Genomic DNA, 20,443 nt, shown 5'->3' on the forward strand with positions numbered 1-20,443 from the left:
CAACACAACTCCCATAAAGATGTGATCAGGGACTCCCTTTGCAAGTCTACGATTTCTCTGTAAATACAAGCTTCTTAAGTGTCTTTAGTCTGTCTCTTTGACAAAGGAAACCACAAATATATCCTAAAACTGGGAACTGGACTAACCACCACAGTTTAAGTTGCTGGTGTTGTTGTTTGGTTGTGTTGTCCGTTTTGTTGGACTCTTTAGTCAGAGGGCAGAGCAGGAACAACTTGTCCAGAACAGCCCACCTTTCACCAGAGGAGCCTGCGTGCGCTCTGCTGCAGTGCGGACAGCCCGATGACGGCAGGTGTCGGGGGAGAACCACCCCTTCGAGGCTCTGGAGGAGCCCCTGGCACTCTGGCCGGGGACTAAAGGGAGCCACTGAGCATGCTTCCGCTCCCCACTTTTCCTCATTTTGGCAAAACATGTGTAGGCTGGGGAAACGGTTCTGAAGCTGTGCAGGTCATCGGTGCTGGCCCTCCCAGGGAGGCAAACATCTGTTTGGGGCCGATCATCGGTGCCCGCCCTCCCAGGGAGGCGAAGATCTGTTCAGGGTCTGGCCTCCACTAATGCCACCACATACAGGCCAGGACAGCCTGGCACTAACCCAGCAGAAGATTCCTCGGCCTTGGAACTGTGGGCTCAGGACAGGGGTAGCTGATTTGAGGCTGGAGCCCAGCAGGACACCTTCGGGGCTGCTGAGTAATTGTGTCTTCATCAAGAACAACAAAAATGTTATTAGTTTTGGGTTTCTTCCAGAAACTGCTGGTTCCTCAAAAGGCCATGCATCTCCTAGCAATGGAAAGAAGCATGGACTAACACCTTTATTTTAAAAATCAAAAATCAAAGCAGAGGGCCCTGCCTCAGCTCTGGATGGCCAGCAGTCCTCTGAGGCCAGGATCCTGCCCAAGTCTCTGGGATCTATACCAGGTAGCTAATGAGAAACGGGCTCATGAATAAAAGAAGGGAATTGCTTCCCGAGCATGCCAGAGGAATGCTAACTGGGCTCCAGCATCTAAGCAGCCTTTAGAGCAAAGCCACAGTCATTAGTGACTCTAATGATTTTTTCCTCCTCTGCCATGTACGATCCTTTTAGTGTTAGGAAACTATCGGTGCATGCTTGTTAGAGAGAGAAGTCTTTGAAATCCATCCAACTCTGCTCTACATCTGAGCCATTTATAATAGAAGACTGATTAATGTTTGAGGCAACCCCAGTGAAAAGAATCTTGGCTGAAATGCTGCCAAACTTTCCATTTTTAAGGCTTGTCATCAGACTAAGTATGCTGATCTTGAAAATGTGGGTGAGGAAGAGGAGGAAGCTCTGACGGGTGGAGGAAGGAGCACTTACCTGTCCGAGGACACATCAGTGTCACTTGGGAGACCCCAGAGATGCCTGTCATCAAAGGCTTACTGCTAAGTATTTGATTTATTTCCATTGCAAAGAGAAATTTTGCAGAACACTGGAGTCGCCATAAATTTTGTGATATTATAGGTATCTTCATCAAACCCTAGGCTAAAAATTACATAAATTTGGAAATTTCTCAGAGGAGGAATGACCAAGGATTTGGAGAGTCAGTGAGTGAGAAGGAAGAGGACAAGGCGAGGAGGGGTCTCCTCCCACCCCCATCACCCTCCACCCACTGCCCACAGCCCAGTCCGTGTGCCTGCTGGGGCCCCATCTCCCACATCCTGGCCCCACCCCAGCCCACCCCTTCCCCCAATTGGCAGGTGTCAATCACACAGAAAACAGAAAATTATTGCAATCACCCACTGAGCAGGCCCCAGACCCCTCCCCTCCCTGTCCAGCAGCAAGAAAACCAGCAAGTCCGGTGGGGGCAGAACCCCATGAGCCTCTCTCCACCCACGGAAGGTGGAATCCCGTGAAATGTCGACATGCCTGACTAGTATGCTGGACCACAAGAGAAATTTCGGGATAAAAACCTCGAAATTTCATCTCCAATGAGCTGAGAAGCTCTGTATTGTTTTTTGCATTTGGAATGCAAATATTTGCTTGTAACAAATGAGAATGCAAAACCATTAAATAGATCAAAGCCGATAGTTTTCAATTACAAGAGGCCCATGCAAGCGAGGTGGAGCTGGAAGATGAATGATGGTTGGAACGCGGTGTCTGGTGGTGAGACCTCTGCCTCTGACTCACTGTGCCTGGGCCCCTCCCTGGGCCACTCCCCAGGTAGGGATGCACCTGAGCAGCCACCCTCTGCCCTGCCTGTTGCCTCCTCTGCTTACAACTGTGCCTCCTGGATCGCAGGGGGGTGCAGTCATTCCTGTTCCCTTTAGAGGTGCGGTAGCCTCAGAAGACCATCCTGGCCAAGTGAACCTGCACCCTGATTCCTAAGCCCAGCAATGGCTTGGAGACTCTGCCCTTTTGATCTCTGGCTTTGTACAAGTCTCTTGCCTCCCAAGCCTCAGCTTTTGCTCAGAGAAAAAGACAGCTGTGGTCATTGTTCTGCTGACAAACATCTGTGGTTCCCTAGTCCTTCAGAGAGGAGGAGCTGGTCCTGCCAGCAAGGGCTGCCTCTCAAAGGTGGAGAGGCTGCTGCTGGGGGTCCGAGTTCCCTGCCCTGTGGGGCCTGATGGAAGCCTGGTTGGCGCACCCTCTGCACTCTGCTGGGATGCACATGGCCAGATGCCCGCTGGCAGAGCTGCCTGTGCCAGGCTAATAAGCAACGTTTGCAGTGAATCTGCTCCTAGGAACATACTTGAATTCTGCTCAATAGGGAGCGTGGAGCCAAAGCCAGACATTGTTGGGTGAGGCATCCCACCTGCACCACTCCGCCCTGCCGGAATCTTTCCCAGGGGCCTGTGGAAATGAATGCCTGGGCCCAGCTGCTGGGCAAGGAGGAGGCTGGCACTTGGTGCTTGTCCACAGCTGGACCTCTCTTGCCACAAAGAAACAAGGAAATGAGGACAGCCTGGCTTCTCAGGCAGGATTCAGAGAAGAGACTGCTCCCGCCTTTGCCCAAGGACAAAGTGTTCTGCAGAGCACTAATGCAGGTTGATCTCGTCGGGATTACAGGCGGGGTGCTGCTGCAGGCACCAGTGCCCCTGGACAGAGGCTGGAGGCTGGAGACAGTCCCCCCGGGGCCACCACAGTGTCCTCAGAGCGGGGCTGGGAAGTGCTCCTCGGCCCTGCTCTCTCCTCCTTCTTTCCTTTCCTTTCCCCTCTTTTCTTTCCTTCTTCCTTTCCTTCCTTCTTTCCTTCCTTCCTTCCTTCCTCTCTCCCTCCCTTTCTTCCTTTCTCTTCCCTCCTTCATCCTCTCTCCCTCTCTTCCTTTCTTTCCTCCTCCCTTCCTTCCCTCCTCTCTTCCCTTCTCCCTCCACCCTCCCTCCCTCTTTCCCTCCCTTCCTGCCTTCTTCCTTTCTTTTTTGCATTCATTTATGCTCTATTAATAAACAGCCTTTTATGTACTTTCTTTTTATTATTTTTTCACTCATTCGTCTATCCTTTTATTCATTCATCAGAATGCCCAACCTTTTACTCATTCATTAATGCATAGACTGAGCCTGTATTCCAGGGGTGCCTGCCAGGCCCCAGGCCTGGTACATTTCCTGGCAGGGACTCCCTGCTGGTGACATGGGCTGGGCAGCAGCACTGGTCCCAGTGTCACTTTCACAAGCCTCCCTGACTTATTTATGTTTATGGGCAACTCCCTGGGGCTCACCTTGCTGTCAAACTTTTAGGCGTTTGAAAGGGCAACAGGCTCAGGTCTTTCCTTGGTGTGAGAGCAGCTGGTGACCCCCTCTGCAGGCTGAGCTTCTTGTCTGAGCCCAGCATCCGGCCCCAGGGTCTGCCTCCACCTGTGCTCTCTGCCCCAGCGCCCCCAGCTCAGGCCCCAGCACCCCCAGCAGAGCCTGCTCTGCCCCCACCTGCTTCCAGCTTCCTCCTAGGAGCAGCATCCTTGGGCTTCCATTGGTGAAAGAACACGGGCTTCCCACCTGGGAATCCTGGCAGCCGCCACTGCCCACTCAGGGCAGCAAAGTCAGCCCCATAGGGCTTTTCTGGGGATGGAAGCAGACTCTGGAAAAAGGCTCTTCCCATGGTTGGTACTTAAATTTGTGTTTAATTAGAGTCAAAATAAGGGCCCTTCAACAATATAATACCTCTAAATTTAGATGTTACTAAGTATTTGTTAAAAGGCCCTGAAGTCCAGGCTCTTTTCCTGTTGGTGGTGGACACAGCTCCCCTGGCCAGGGCAGTGGCTGTGTCTGGGTTGGGGAGGAGGCTTCTCCAGGGTCCTCTCAGGCCCGTGTGGTGGACAGAGCCTTCCAGAAGGGAAAGGGCTCCCTCCCACCGGGAGAGCGGCTGGGTGCAGCTGAGGGCCACGCAGGTGTGGAGTCATGCCTGGGACACTCACCAGGGCCTCCTCACCTGGGCGCTGCAGTCTCCTTTAGATGCCTCCTTTTCTTACATGTCTAACCCAAAATTACAGCTTAAAACAGTTCTTAAAAAATCAAAAAACGGGAAACATATCATCTAAGAGAAAGAGCTGAGTGTTCACCTTGGTCACACAGAGCCCAACCCCAGCAACATCAGAAAGTAAGTCCTAAACCAATGGCCACGATCAGAACCCTTGCCCAAAGTCCTCGATGCCTTCAGAATCATGGCTTATTTGTGGGAGCAGCAGGCAAGGGGTCTCATTTTTTATGCTGCTCTATAAGAAGACAAAACTCTTGTCTCTATCATCTGAGCTATTTGAGTCATCCAGTAGGTTTTCCTAGGAAGTTAGAAATACGCTGTAACCCTCTTGATCTATGACTTCGCCACCAGTGAAAATGCTATCGAGATATTTTTAATCAAAAGACAGCTTAAAATGCAATAAATTTCAAAATGGAAAAGTGATAGTTCATGTATAATTGCTTTCAGAGTCCACCGTAGACCTTAGCTGAGTGGGAATTAGGGAGCGTGAGCTGGGCACCATGTTTTGCCCTCCCGCTCAGCCTGAATAACAGCACCTTGTAGGCCCCCGCAGGAAGGGCACAGGTGGCAGCCAGGGGCTGGAGCTGGACATGACCCGAGAGCCAGGGAGTCAGGTCACGGAGGAGCCGGCTCCAGCCCAGCCGCCTGCACCTACCCCATTGCTGAGGAAGGTAGCTGGGAAGCGCAGGCTCCTGGCTGAGAGGCGATACTGCGTGAAGGAGCAGGTCTGGGAATCTGTGAGGGTGTTCCCAGGGGCACAGCCGCTTCCGAAGTGGTCGTCACCGGTCAGCAGGGAGGGAAGAGGGAGGGGCCTGAGCCTGACCCAGACGCCCCCTCCACCCCAGGCCAGGCGCTCCTGCTCACCCCCGATGCCCACACCTTGCTGGTGAGTAGCTGTCATTCTGCCCACAGGGCCGGCCCCATGCACACGTGACCCTCACAGTGGGGCAGGGCCCCGAGCTCAGGATGCCCGCCACTGACCTAATGCTCTGTGCATCATCAGGAAAGCCTCAGCCATGTTTGAATGGGAGACCCCACGTTGTCATTTTGCACCAGGACCCCGAGATTATGCATCCAGCTCCTCCCACCCTCATTGCCCTGCCGTGTGCCCTCACCCAGGCACTCTGCCGTGCTGCAGGCGCCACCTGCTCCCTGTTGCCATCTACCCAGCATCGCCTGGTCAGCGACAACGGGATGTGCCCGTCGGATCTTTCCGGGTCCCTCCTGTCCTGGGCACTGCCAGAAGAGGATCACCTAAAGGCACTACAGTCTTTGGGATGGGAGCTGAGTCACCCATACTAACCCAGCTGGAAGGAAGGTGGAATAAAGGAGGGAGGGAAGGAGTAAGGAGGAGGGAAAGGATGGAGGGAAAAGGAAAGAAAAAGGGACAGAGGGAGGGAAGGAAGGAGGAAGAAAGGAAGGGGGAAAAGGAGAGAGGGAGGAAGGCCAGCTCTCTCCTCCTCTCACTCCATTGCCCGCAGATGCCTGCCCTTGGCTAAACCCCCCGCAGCTGGAGGCAGGAATCTGTGGCTGCAGCCACACTCCCCACCTCTGCTGGTGGAAAGTAGTGCGGACCCTCCACGGGACAGATGGGAGGTGGAGGCAGAGAGGGAGAGGGGCGATGGAGCCAGGTGATGGAGAGAGGAAGCAGGGGAGGGAGGGGCTGAGGGAGTGAGTTTTGTGCATGTGGAAATCAGGTTCATGCTGGCATCCAGGTGGAGGTGTCTAACAAGCTGGGCAGCTCTCCTAGGAAGGCAGGAAAGTCTGAAAGATTTTCTTTTGCAGTTGTAAAAAAAAAAAAGATAGTTAAGTACATAAGCTTGAGTAATAAGGAAAGAGCTTTAATTGCATGGAAAATGCACTTGTGTGGGCTCAATTTATTCTTTGAGTTTTCCTAGCCGTTATTCAGGCAGCATTGAATGAGGGCTCAGTGGGCACCAGGCATGGTGCAAAGTGACGAGGATGCAGAGGTTGGTCATCGGGACCTGCCCCCAAACACATCAGGGTCTGGAGGGCCAGACAAAGACGTCAAGAGCCCGGAGTAAGCACAGGATGGAGATGAGGCTCCCTTGGAGGTGAGAACCCCTTGGAGGTGAGAACCAGGATGGAGGTGAGAACCCCTGGGAGGGGCAGAAGCATCTCAGTGTTTAAGCACCAACAGGTGAGCTGCCCAGCTGTGCAGGGATGGCTCCCTGCTGCTATGAGATTGAAAATGAAACAAGGAAGGAAATACAAAGTCACTTAAACTCGAGTTCTTAACTGTAATGTCTTCTTGCACATTTAGCTATCTTTTGTATTTTTAACTTGATTTCCTGATTTCTTGATTTCTTTTATGTGGACGGTGTGTGTGTGAGTGCAAGAGCGAGAGATTGACTGATCTGGGATGCATCCTCCAGTACACACGGGAAGCCTGGCCCAGGCGTGGGAAGCCTCTCAAGGTGGGCTCCTCTTTCTGAGAGCCCTGTCCCTGCTGGTGTTGTGGTGCCCGCATGGCCGGCTGAGGATGGTCCTGCTGGGGTATGAGATGCTAAGGCATGAAGTGTCAGGGCCCATATCATACAGTGTTTCCCTCTGCCTCCTTCCGTCTCCCTTCCCCAGAAGTGATTTTTTTTTTTTTTTTTTTTTTTTTGAGGCAGAGTCTGGCTCTGTCACCCAGGCTGGAGTGCAGTGGCACCATCTCGGCTCACTGCAAGCTCTGCCTCCCAGGTTCACGCCATTCTCCTGCCTCAGCCTCCCCAGTAGCTGGGACTACAGGTGCCGGCCACCAAGCCCGGCTAATTTTTTGTGTATTTTTAGTAGAGACGGGTTTTCACCGTGTCAGCCAGGATGGTCTCGATCTCCTGACCTCGTGATCTGCCCGCCTCAGCCTCCCAAAGTGCTGGGATTACAGGCGTGAGCCACCGCCCTGGCCCAGAAGTGATTTTTGAACTCTTTACCAATTATAGGTATAAATACAATGTTATGTCAGATAATGTTCCTGGAGCGGCCTCGGCCCTCTCAGTCCTGTTTGGTCTGCCTTGCCACCTGCATTTCTTCACTTTCTTTCAGAGCCTGTGACTCCCATCACTGATTATCAGAGCCTGAGTCTGATCTGAAACTTCGGGCTCTAATTCCTCAGATTAAAAACAAACATAGCTAATTTTATTATTTGACGTTCAACTTTAAATTGGAAAAAATTTAATGTCTATAGTTGATCAGACCCAGTGCAGAAGAAAGAAATTGCCATTTAAAAGTTCCAGCTGCAGCCCTGAGATGTGTTAATGACACTCACCTGCAGCTCCACACGAACTCATTAAAACTCTTAATTATACTTTTTAATGCAAAGTGGAAGGTTTTAGGTAATGGATTCTGTGTGGTTTGCATTTTTAAACAGAAGTCCCAGGGCAGAGGCTGAGCTGGTGTCTCCAGTAGAAGCCACACTCCGAGGTCCAGCGGACCTGCCCACTGCCCGCCGCCCACCGCCCACTGCCTGGGACCAGGATCCGATTCTCCCCATTCTTCAGGTGGGATGGGACCACCTCTTCCACAAGCGCTTTTGAAAACTTGTGTCCCCACCATGTTGTTACTGAATTTCTCCTTGGAGGCTGGAAGAATGGGGCTATAAGGTGGAGCCCACAGGGCCCAGATGGCCAAATGCTCAGCCCACAGCAGCCGCGCAGGTGCCGGAGGCAAGGTTGTGACCACACCATGTCCTGCCATGGACAGTTCCTCTTCCTCTCGTTCCTCCCTCTCCCCCTCCCTCTCCTCCTCCATGTCCTCCTCCTTCTTTGGAGAAGCCCTGACTTTCACACCATGCCGTGGACTCCTGGTGCCATGGGCCACATCTCCCTACACCTTTTGAATGTCCACCACAGTTCTCTAGAATGGAGAAGTAAGAGACTCCTGTGACCCTATCAACTCCAGTAGGGATGGCACCAGGTTCAAGAGGCTGGAGAAGAGACCCAGGGCCAGCAAAGGAGACATGGTGTTTCACTGGGGGCTACAGACAGGGGAGAGAGTCCAGCAGGCTGGGCAGGAGAATCGTGACAACTCAGCACCCTCCCCAAACAACCTCCACCCGGCAGCCTTCATTTACCCCAAAACAAAGGGTCTCGATCCCCTGTACAACCCGCAACCCAAGGGACAGGCTGGGGGCTCAGATGTTCCTCACAGGGAAGGAAAAAATCTCCAGGTTGGCCTCTCCTGGATTCCTTAACTCACAACGCTGAACCGCACTCAGGTGCACCTGCCATCCAGGGTCATTCTCACACTGGGCTCCAGGTGCTGCTGTCAGGCACAGTCACTGTACACTCATCCACCTAGGAGGCTGACAGTGGCAGAAGGAAGACCCAGGGCCCATGCCTGCCTACCCCAGCAGGGCATCAATGTGGAGGGCAACAGCAAAACCACAGAAGGGCTGTGTCCTTCACTCAACAAACACCCACAGGGGACTGACCCTCACTGGCACAGAGCCACCTGCACACAGGTGAGCACAAGGGGCTGTCATAGAGGCTATAATAGATCACACAGGGGTGTGATGGATACCTGCACTCAGGTGAGTACACAGGGGTGTGGGGGAGACCTAGACTGAGGTGAGCACACAGGGGTGTGGGGGAGACCTGCACTGAGGTGAGCACACAGGGGTGAGATGGAGACCTGCACTCAGGTGAGTACACAGGGGTTTGGGGGAGACCTGCACTCAGGTGAGCTCACAGGGGTTTAGTGGATACCTGCACTGAGGTGAGCACACAGGGGTGTGGGGGAGACCTGCACTGAGATGAGCACACAGGGGTTTAGTGGATACCTGCACTCAGGTGAGTACACAGGGGTGAGATGGAAACCTGCACTGAGGTGAGCTCACAGGGGTTTAGTGGATACCTGCACTCAGGTGAGCACACAGGGGTGAGATGGAAACCTGCGCACAGAATCAAATGACACATGTTTGTGGAGCCTGGGTTGAAGGACGGAAGCACAGTGGCTGATGACCCGGGAACTCAGGATATGGTGCCAGCAAAGCACAGGCTGGAAGCCAGGATATGAGACTGCGCATGTGCAGAGCTGGAATGGGGTTGTGGTTGAGATCTCTCCTTTGAGAACTTTTACAACTCAGAATGCAAGAGCCTTCCCACGAAAGCACCAAATTTGACTGCTGCTCGGGGAGTCTTCACTAGGTTGAAACAGAGGGGATTCCACCGCTGCAATGGAACCAGCACGGTGGAGGTTCCAGGACAGCAGGCTGCATGGAGGAGTCAGGCTCCCGGGAAAGGTGACAGGCTGTAAGTGCAGGAAACTGGGGAAACAGCCACCCGAGTGTCAGTTTTCTCACCGCTGCAGAGTGTGGAGAATGCACAGGGCCTGGGCTTTGAGGCATCTGTGTGACTAGCCAACCACAGTGGAATGGCTGGGCTCCCTCTTTCATGTTCTTTAATTTCTCCACTGTCACGGCAGCCACAGGACCACTGCACAGACAGACACACAGTGGAGCAGACAGAGCTTTTGAAACTGGAATCTGAGCACTGGAGAAGGGAACCAGGGGTATCGCTCCCAGGATGAAATGGGGACTTCTTTCAGCATCCTCTGGGGCGGCAATTAAAATCGGTTTTTGTTCCTGAAACCAATTGACACTATATTGTTCAATAAATGTCTCTAAGGAGAATGAATAATGCCATCATCGTTCAACACAGTCCTTCAACCTTTGAGACTCGTTAACACAGGTTAGGCTCAAATGCCCAGTGAGATGTGGGGGCTGTTCCGTGCAGGTGGGCGGGTGCCCTGGAGCTACAGGCTTTGGTTGGTAAGATGGTCTAGCAGATAACATGGGGTGGGGAGACGGGAAGGACGGCGGGCTTCCCGGGGAGGGCTGAGCTCATGGGGGATCTTCTCCACATCTCCATGAAAACCTTCACTAGAACCTTGACCACTTCAACTCTGGCTCTTGGCAGCTGCCTTAAGAGGCTAGGACAGAAAAATGGACTTTCTGTGTTAGAGCCAGCAAAGGGGGAAGCAATGCACAAGGGCAGTTTCCCTCCTTAAATCACACATCCATACAGGTGTGGCTGGGCTGCAGTGTACGGAAAAGATTTTTAATATTCACCCGCGTGGAGTCCTCAGGACTGATTGGAAGTGATCTGTTCAAATGTCAATGCCATTCATCTTTAATGAGAAGATGAACCCTCCCGACCTTATGAGTCTTTGGAATTAGAGAATACATTGGTTGATATCCTGTCATTTTCAAAACCAAATAAGGAAAGACCATGAAAAAAACCGAGTGTGATATAATTTGCTTGGCCTGGGTCTCCGAGAACGCATTGGCACCATCTGCAACTGCTGCTAGTTAGTTAGTGGCAATGTCACCATCATGATGGATGGCTCAATAATGCCATGCCAGCTGGCAAGGCACATTTGGGGATTCAGGCTGTGTAAGTGAGATCAAAAAATTATCAAGATAGATAGCATAATAGAAAGATGGAAGGGAGTTTTGGATAAGGCGTTAAGAATTCAGTGTGTACGTGCGTGCGTGTGTGGTGCTGGCACGTTACAGGGAGGTAACAACGATCGGTGGATCGTTGTTGGAGCTGGAATCCCCCCAGCCTTGTGTGACCACATAACTTTCACAGGTTCTAGCCCTCTCTCTCTCCAGTAAACCCAAACCTGACGTTACTCATGGGAAATTTGGACAGGCTGACACCTGGAATCTTCCTGGGGTTTTGCAGAAACTCTAAAGGAAACTCTGGAATGCCATATGCAGGACGTGCCTCCACCCCTTTCATCTTCATGACACTGCAATTTAATAAGAAAAAGAATTAACTGGCCAGGAGCGGTGGGTCACGCCTGTAATCCCAACATTTTGGGAGGCTGAGGCAGGTGGATCATTTGAAGTCAGGAGTTCAAGACCAGCCTGGCCAACATGGTAAAACCCCATCTCTACTAAAAATACAAAAAAAAAAATAGCCAGGCAGGGTGGCAAGTGCCTGTAGTCCCAGCTATCGGGAAGGCTGAGGCAGGAGAATTGCTTGAACCCAGGAGGCGGAGACTGCAGTGAGCCGAGATGGCTCCACTGCATTCCAGCCTGGATGAGAGCGTGAGACTCCACCTCAGAAGAAAAAAAAAAAAGAGAGAGAAAGGAAAAAGGAAAAACAATTAACAAAGTTCCAGATAGAGACTCAAATATAATCAATGTGTTTGGTGATCACCAAATTTGTAGGAAGACTTGGACAAACAGGCCCCAAGTTCACAAGAGTGAAGTCATTGTCCATGATGCTAGAAGTTATTAGTAAGAGGTATCTGCCTTCCAGAGCTGGTGACTTATTAATCAGTCATCGAGTGTGGACTGAAAGCTGCCACAGAAGGGAGCTTAAAACATTCTGCAGATAGTTTTAAGCAGCTACCTCAGTAAGCCCTATTTTAGCATTGAGGACACTGCAGTCAGTCAGGGAGGAAAGGAAAAAAGTTCCAACCCTAAGACATAAACCACTGTGCATTTTATACGATTTATCATTGTCAGCATACATAATTTAGAATATAAAGTTACATAATTATAACTGTTAAAAGAAGTATGTTATTATTTATCATTTATATTGAATTTCTATAATATGCTAGTGAGTTTTGTGTTCTAGGGAAAAGCTGCTTATGGATCTGCTGGGCTAGGCTGTGTCTTCATAAAAGTAAATCATATAAAAGACTCATACTAATCCCAAAGGGACTTGGCCTCTACTGTTGACTAAGCCTCGAAGCTTAGATATGTAAACCTCATGTCCAGATCAAGGAATCAGTCAATCCTTCAGTCAATAGCACAAAGTGCTTCCTTTCTGAGAAATCTCACAGATGACTTGAGTTGGTGCATGAACTTCAGCTTCCTCTCAAAAATTCCATTCAGCTTCTTTTCTCACAGCCCAAACAACAAGCAATGTTCCACAGAAATAGTGACAGCAGAATGGTGTTATCACCACACAAAGGAAGAGTACGGCACGAGCCTCTGTAACATGCATTCACACTTTACTAAGTGATTAAAAAAAAAAAAACCTATATTTAAATACTGGCATTGAGCTTTGAGGTTCTTGAAAGAAATGTGTTAGCTAAATGCAACATTAAGAATTCAGCTAATTTTTTAAATTTCTATTTTTTAACATGAAACACGATATAGGGAAAACTCCATTCCTCATACGTCTACATTTCTAAATTCTCTGCAATATGATACTTTCCTAAAAATAAAGTGGAAGTGAAAACGCAGACATAATACAGCTTGCAGACGCGTGCGGAAACACAGACGGCTATAACACACACCGGAGGATTCAGCTCACACCAACGCTGCTGTTGGGTGACCCTCCAAACCCACAATGCGGCGTTGCAGAAACACACACAAGGTGTCCCGCAGAAACATTCGATTTGACATGTGTGCTTGTCCTTCTGGATTCACCAACCCTGATTTCAAGAAACAGGCCAGATCCTTGGGAGGGCCAGCCCCAGTGTCGCTTTGCCCAAGAGGCCATGGAGATTATGACGTGCACCTCCTGCTCAGAGGGTCCCAATAGGCTCTCAGCCTTTTTTTTCCTTGCCTGTCCAGATAGAAAACTGAAAAAGGGGCTGGACACGGTGGCTCACACCTGTAATCCCAGAATTTGGGAGGCCGAGGCAGGCAGATCATGAGGTCAAGAGATCCAGACCATCCTGGCCAACACGGTGAAACCCTGTCTCTACCAAAAATTAGCTGGGTGTCGTGGCACGCACCTGTAGTCCCAGCTACTTGGGAGGCTGAGGCAGGAGAATTGCTTGAACCCGGGGGACGGAGGTTGCAGTGAGCCGAGATTGCGCCACTGCACTCCAGCCTGCTGACAGAGAGACTCCATCTCAAAACAAAACAAAACAAAACAAACAACAAACAAAAAAAAAAAAGAGAAGAAGAAGACAAAACAAAGCGCAAGATTATTAAGATTATTCTAACCCAAAGGTAAAGCTCCCTGTGAATAACCGAGGCCTGGTCACCGCGAGTCCCTGCGGGGGGTGCGGGACACTCAGGGGCTCTTGGGGTCTTTCCACGAGGCAGGCCGCTCCCATCCCAGGGGTGCCCCGCAGGACATGGCGAGTCCACGCCAGGCACAGCGGCAGTCTTGCTCCCTGGACTTTGGCTGTTTGCTGGGCTTCCCATGGTTTTGGGTGCTGGGCTTTGTCATGTTCTCTGCTCTGGGATCACTGGAGGATTTGGGTGCCCACAGGGCCCCACTTCTTGGGCCCCTCTGCCACCTCCCCGCAGTGTCCACCAAGGCTTCTGCCTGCCCCCGGCTGCAGAGCACATTCAGTGAGAGTGGTCGTCAGGGCAGGGGGATGCTGGGGGCGTCCTGGAACACCAAACACACCCTTGGCCTGGTTGTGGGGAGGGAGTGCTATGGAACTTCCTGCCCGGGGTCCCTGGTAGGATTCTTGTCTCCAGAACAGAAAGATGAGGACAATATGGTGATTCAATTGTTTCTGTTGTTGTTTCCATGTGGGTTTAATTCATCTGGAGAGCTGTTTCCTATTCCCAGCCCATGTCACTTCTGCTCTGTGGGGTCTGCCGGTCTTGGGGGAGTCGTAGGAGTGTGCGGCTGTCCACTTCTTCAGTGCTTGCTCCTCCTCAGGAAAATAAAAGTTGGCAACACCATACATCCTGCTGTTTCTCAAATGTTATTTGAAATTTTGCTGGTATTTGAAACACAAACATCTGTTTCATAAGAATCTCAAATGATCTTAAAACGCCAGAGAATGGGACAGGCACAGTGGCTCATGCCTGTAATCCCAGCACTTTGGGAGGCCAAGGCGGGCGGATCATGAGGTCAGGAATTTGAGACCAGCCTGTCCAACATAGTGAAACCCCGTCTCTACTAAAAATATAAAAAATTAGCTGGGTGTGGTGGCAGGCACCTGTAATCCCACCTACTTGGGAGGCTGAGGCAGGAGAATTGCTTGAACCCAGGAGGTGGAGGTTGTAGTGAGCCAAGATTGCACCATTGCACTCCAGCCGCCTGGATGACAGAGCGAGACTCCGATTTTAAAAAAAGCCATAGAATGAGGCCGCAAGCTCACCTCCTGCTTCTTCTATGTGCAGAGAAAATGCAGTTTCCTTGAGATTGTTTTAAGGTCATGATAAAATCAAGCAAGATATCATCAGACTCTTCTAAAATCAGCAACACCGAGGGAAGTCTGAACACCGGGCTTGATTAATCTCTACCCAAAACAACACTCCCAACAGGCAGGTCCGACACGGGCGTTGGCATTTGAGCTTTTAGCTGGTGGGAGTTACTTCAGCAAATGTGTGAGCAGCTCAGTCCTCCCCTGGGGACTGTGTCCTGCAGGACACAGGCAATTTCGTCCAAAACTAGGCATCAGCCTGCAGCCTTCAAGTTGCTTCCCAAAGTCAGAAATGACTGGCAGCCATGAGAGCCAGTCGCTTTCCTTGTCTCATTAGAGGTGGTTCTGTGGATAACCAGCCCCACCCAGCCATGCAGCTGTAACAGGAGAAGGTGTGCATGTGCACACACACAGGCACACACATGCTCACATGCACACATGTGCACACACACAGGCACACACATGCTCACATGCACACATGTGCACACACACTCCATCACATCAATGTAAAATTTATATAAGAAAAGTGGGCCAGGCACGGTGGCTCATGCCTGTAATCCCAGCACTTTTGGAGGCCGAGCCAGATAGATCACCTGAGGTCAGGAGTTCAAGACCAGTCTGGCCAACATGGTGAAACCCCAAATCTATTAAAAAAACAAAACATTAGCCAGATGTCATGGTGGGCACCTGTAATCCCAGCTAGTCAGGAGGCTGAGGCAGAAGAATTGCTTGAACACAGGAAACGGAATTTGCAGTGAGCCGAGATAGCTCCACTGCATTTCAGCCTGGACAACAGAGCAATACTTCATCAAAAAAAAAAAAAAAAAAAAAAAAGAGGAAAGTGAAGGGCAAGACCTGTTGCAGTGGCTCATGCCTGTAATCCCAGCACTTTGGGAAGCTGAGATGGGAGGATCACTTGAGTCTAGCAGTTTAAGACCAGCCTGGACAACATAGTGAGACCCCATCTCTACAAATTTTTTTTAATTGGCCAGGTGTGATGGTGCATGCCTGTGGCCCCAGCTACTCAGGAGGTTAAGGTGGGAGAATCACTTGAGCCCAGGAGGTCATGGCTACAGTGAGCTATGATTACGCCACTGTACTCCAGCCTGGGTGACAGAGCAAGACCCCATTTCAAAAATAAATGACAGCAACAACAAAAAAAGTAAAGGGCATATCTTGGTGGAACCTCTTAAGATTAATACTTTACAGTTATAATTTGTTATTTCTATCCTTTCCCCAGGAGAGATAAAAAATCACTGGATGTGCTTGAGTGCTTGAAGGACTAAGGCCTAAAACAGGGCATTTGGCTTCAGTTCTTCTAGAATCTGGAAGATAGGTCCACAGCTGGGCTGGCCTTCCTCAAAATCCCCTGCTGGAGAAATGGGGCGTAAGTATTGACCTTGTTTAGCTCAATCAGGGTAAAGCCGTCCAAGGCAAGGATGGACGTGTCTCTCCAGGCGATGCAGGTATTTTGGGTCCCAGCCCCACCATCAGCCTGCTCCTCTCAAAGTGGCACCTGGGTGTTTGGGGCTCAGGGCCTTCCTGACCTCACAGCACTGCTGGGGGAGGGCTCCCCAATGCCCAGAGATCCTTCATTTATGATGTGACTCCCTCAACTATCTCAGCCAGAGAGGAAGCTGACAGCCAGCCGCCCAAGGGACCCCCCACTGCCTTTGCTTTGGGGCCTCCTCACTCCCACTCCAGCAGCAGGTCCCACAAAAGGCCGGCCACCTCTCCAGGCAGTTTTCAGTGACCAGGAGCTGAGGAAGGCACAGATGGGCAAGCTCCCTGCTCCCTGTGCTGCCAGCTTCTGCAGCTGTGGGCTGCCCAGAGGCCCAAGAGGAGGCCCCGCTGAGAGGATGCACCTCTCCCTCCTCTAGTGAGGCCCCACCTTGGGACCTCCACCACCCCCACAGGCTCCTTCTCTTCATCACAACCCCATCCAGAGACGCAGGTTTCCTTCGACTTCCTCCCGGAGGAGGGCAGGAACCAAGAGCAGAGAGAATGCCCACACCAGGCATGGGAGGACTCCTGGGACCTGCACCAATCAAGCCTGGGCCCTGCCCCACCCCCCACCACCATAAATTCAGAACTAACATTAGAAAATCCTTGCTGTTTCTGGCAATTCATGGCTTTCAAGCATTTTGTCTAATTGCACAGTTTTATTTTGAATATCTGAAGCTGTGCATTAACACTGTGCTTTCTTTACATTCTTTCTGTAAAAAAACCCTAATTCTCCTACCACTCAGTGCAACTCAAGACAGAGGCGCCTTACGATCACCAAGGAAAAACTCATGCATTTAAAAAAGGCTAAAAGAAAAGTACTTCAGTCGTTTTTTAGAAACATCATGCTGTGTACATTTGTATTCTCACTTCTTAAGCCGCTATCATTCCAGTGTCTCTTCTCTTGGGCAATTGTGCCAACCACATTACGTTATTTTCCAAGTTTAGGGTGAGCTCCCCCACTGAGCCCTGTAGGTAGGTCTGGTGCCTTCAGCCATGGCAAAACAAGGAAGTTTCTGCGTCCTCCTGGAGCCAACTGAGGCCTCAATGTCCCTGCTGCCTGGATGCCATCCTGAGACAGTGTATGAGTCCATTTTCACACTGCTATGAAGAACTGCCCGAGACTGAGTAATTTATAAAGGAAAGAGGTTTAATTGACTCACAGTTCAGCAGGCTGCACGAGAGGAATGGCTGGGGAGGCCTCAGGAAACTTACAATTGTGGTGGAAGCTGAAGGGAAAGCAAGGCAGCAGGAAGGAAAATGATGTGGGAAGAACTACCAAACACTCACTTAGAAAACCATCAGACCTCCCGAGAACTCACCATCAGGAGAACAGCACGGGGAAAACCGCCCCATGATTCAATCACCTCCATGATTCAATCTCCCTTGACACCTGGGCATTATAGGGATTACAGGGATTACAATTCAAGAAGAGATTCTGGGTGGGGACACAGCCTAGCCGTGTTCAGCAGCATCCAGGTGTCCAGGTGCAGACATGTGCTCCTGTTCGAAACGGGGAAGCCAGTGGATGCAGAGCCGTGAGCACCGAGGGCCTCCCACATTTAGGAGAGGAAGGCTGGTGTCCCTGTGAGAACACATGCTAGTCCAGAGTAAGGAAAAGACGGCCCCGTCCCATCTGCAGGGTTGAGCCAGTTCCAGAACTCGCACGTAGACCGCAGAGAGCAAAGCCGGGTGGCCTGGCGCCATCGCGTGATGCAGACTATTGTGAACGGCCTGCTCTGGAGGCGCAGAGAGGCGGGAGGTGGATGGCGCTGAGGGGAGGGGGTGTAGGCGGAGCACCAGCAGCCAGACCCTGGCAATGACGAAGGCTGCCCGACTGACCGCTTAGCTGGGAGCTCTGCTCAGCCTTCCCCTGCAGACGCCATGACCTTCACAGGACCCTGCAAGGCGGGGCTGCAGTGGCCTGGGCCCTGAGGGGAGGCCCAGAGCAGGGACAGGTTCTGAACTCTGCAGCGGCGCTCCTCCCCGGCCCCTCTGGCCTCTGAACCAGCTGCCATTGTAAGCTCTGGGCCCCGCTGGCACTCCCATGCCCTGGGAAGAAGCAGCCACTGATGGCCGGAGGATGGAGCACAGTGTCGCTGACTCTCCGCCGTGCTGCCCGGACTCCCGGGTGGAGGGAAGCGCCGGGATGCTCCACAGACTGCAGGCTTCCTGCTCCGCCCCTGCCCTGTGCCCCGGGACCCCCTGGAGCATGCCAGCCAGGACATGACCTCCAGCTGCCAATCACTCTTCCCTCCCAGGCAGTGCTGTGTCTTCCAAATGCACAGCCCTGACTCGCGCCACCTCCCCGGCCTGGGGTGCTCACTACCCCTGTGCTCCTCCCGCTCCTCCCTGCCTGGAGTTCCACCCACCACAGCTGGGACTGCCCTTAGGGGTATCGGCTCCTCAGCCCCCAGGCTCTCAAGGCCGGAATCACGCTTTGTGGGGAGTTAAGATAGCGGAGCTCAATCCAACTGGGCTGTGGCGGGTGAAGGCTCGTCCCTAGCTCTGAGATGCACGTGCCAGACTCACTGGACCCTGACAGCCCAGAAGCTCAGTGCGACCCTGCCCCCTGCTGCAGGCAAGCCCCGCCTGTCACGGAAGAGCTGCGCCAGCTTGCTCATGCTTCTCCCTCGGCCCCTCCCACGGCCTCAGTTTGAACCGCCATCCGTGCAGTTTGTAGTACCCACATCTACGTCCAGAGGGCGCTGTCGGGATTAAAAGTTTGAAGTACTCATTTTGGTGTTTGGTTTATAGTCAAAATGGTCTTTTTTCAGATTTCTTTTTATTATTATTATTGAGTCAGGTCTCACTCTGTTGCCCAGGCTGGAGTGCAGTGGCTTGATCATAGCTCACGGCAGCCTCGACCTCCCAGGCTCAAGTGATCCTCCTGCCTCAGCCTCCCAAGTAGCTGAGACCACAGGCGTCTGGCACCCCTTCCAGCTGATTTTTAAAATTTTTTTGTAGAGAGGAGTTTTCACTATGCTGTCCAATCTAGTCTCAAACTCCTGGGCTCCTCTTGGAAACTCCTCTTGCCTCAGCCTCCCAAAGTGCTGGGATTACAGGCGTGAGCCACTGGCCTGGCCCAGATTCCTTGAGGGCATCGGGAGCAGCACAGCCCATGCTCACCTCCCCAGCCTCGCCTGCCTCTGTAATTTGCACCATGTGGCAGCTGCCGGCAGAGCCAGTCCCTCAGTAACTGGTCGCTCCCCATATGCTGAGAACCTTTAATCATCCGAAGCCCCGGTACCCATTACGGCTTTTCCCCTGGTACAGATGGTTCCTGGAGTACTTTTTACTTTGATTTAAATACCTGTGCTTGTTCTTGGCTTTAAAAAAAAGAAAAGCCTTTTTTGGTTCATTTCTGTGTGGTATTCTGGAATATGAATATGCATCCCATTATCATAATTGTCTGGCTTTTAACATGCTTTCGCCTATGTGGAAGTTGCTTATTCTAAAATCTTTAACCAACTGTCAAACGGCCATTCTGTCTCAGTATAAATGTCTCTATTGCAAGCAACAGCGCAAATGTAAACTGTGGCTAAACATTGTACTTCAGATTATAATTGGGTTCAATTAATTTCACTAAAACAAACTCTTGGCAGTAAAAGTCGCATGCTTCTTGATAAAATGTCTGTACAGATGACTGAGATAGAGAGTGATGAGGACTCTGTTATGAAACCGGGAGCTGACTCTCCCATTTTAACTGCCGTGCGGGAAGCAGATAATCATCCTGCAGCTGTAGGGAGGTTGGAGAGGTCTCGGGATAGAGACAGGGGACCAGGAGGTTCCTGGCGTGAAGCCTCAGAGGTCATCTCCACCGCAGTTCTTCATGGGAGAGAATGGGATGCTTGCAGTGACTGCTGTGGTCCAGTGACTACACGGACTCTAGTTTTACCCCATGGAGGAGCCGGGGTGTCATGTGTGGCCTGTGCAACCCTGATATCTGCAAAGCTTATTTGTAACTTCAGATCAGCTTTCTCTCTCTCTCTGTTTCAAAGTTTATAATAAGGGCTCCCTGTATGTTGGTGTCATTTCCAGCCTCAAGGTTGTCAAAGAGTTAAAATTTTCTTTTTCTCTTTTTTTTTTTTTTTTTTTTTTTTGTTCTGTCACCCAGGCTGGAGTGCAGTGGCATGATCTTGGCTCACTGCAACCTCCGCCTCCCGGGTTGAAGCACTTCTCCTGCCTCAGCCTCTCCAGTAGCTGGGATTACAGATGCGTGCCACCACGCCCAGCTAATTTTTTATATTTGTAGTAGAGATGGAGTTTCACCATGTTGGCCAGGCTGGTCTTGAACTCCTGGCCTCGTGATCCGCCCACCTTGGCCTCCCAAAGTGCTGGGATTACAGGCATGAGCCACCGCACCTGGCCACATTTTCTAAACCGATGCTGTGTTCCACTAGGGCTGTTTCTGCT

At 51.3% G+C, this 20,443-nt stretch overlaps 3 annotated features.

The window, feature by feature from the left end:
- Window positions 5,316–5,833: an enhancer, noted in NCBI's record as "H3K4me1 hESC enhancer chr10:133239161-133239678 (GRCh37/hg19 assembly coordinates)". NCBI's record gives its function as "activates a minimal SCP1, AML or CMV promoter by ChIP-STARR-seq in naive H9 embryonic stem cells {active_cell/tissue: H9 hESC(naive)}" and the evidence as "EXISTENCE:reporter gene assay evidence [ECO:0000049][PMID:30033119]".
- Window positions 18,584–19,128: an enhancer, noted in NCBI's record as "H3K4me1 hESC enhancer chr10:133252429-133252973 (GRCh37/hg19 assembly coordinates)". NCBI's record gives its function as "activates a minimal SCP1, AML or CMV promoter by ChIP-STARR-seq in primed H9 embryonic stem cells {active_cell/tissue: H9 hESC(primed)}" and the evidence as "EXISTENCE:reporter gene assay evidence [ECO:0000049][PMID:30033119]".
- Window positions 18,660–18,729: an enhancer, noted in NCBI's record as "active region_4214". NCBI's record gives its function as "activates an Ori minimal core promoter by ATAC-STARR-seq in GM12878 lymphoblastoid cells {active_cell/tissue: GM12878}" and the evidence as "EXISTENCE:reporter gene assay evidence [ECO:0000049][PMID:35858748]".

Source organism: Homo sapiens, chromosome 10, assembly GCF_000001405.40.
Source record: "Homo sapiens chromosome 10, GRCh38.p14 Primary Assembly".
NCBI lineage: Eukaryota > Metazoa > Chordata > Mammalia > Primates > Hominidae > Homo > Homo sapiens.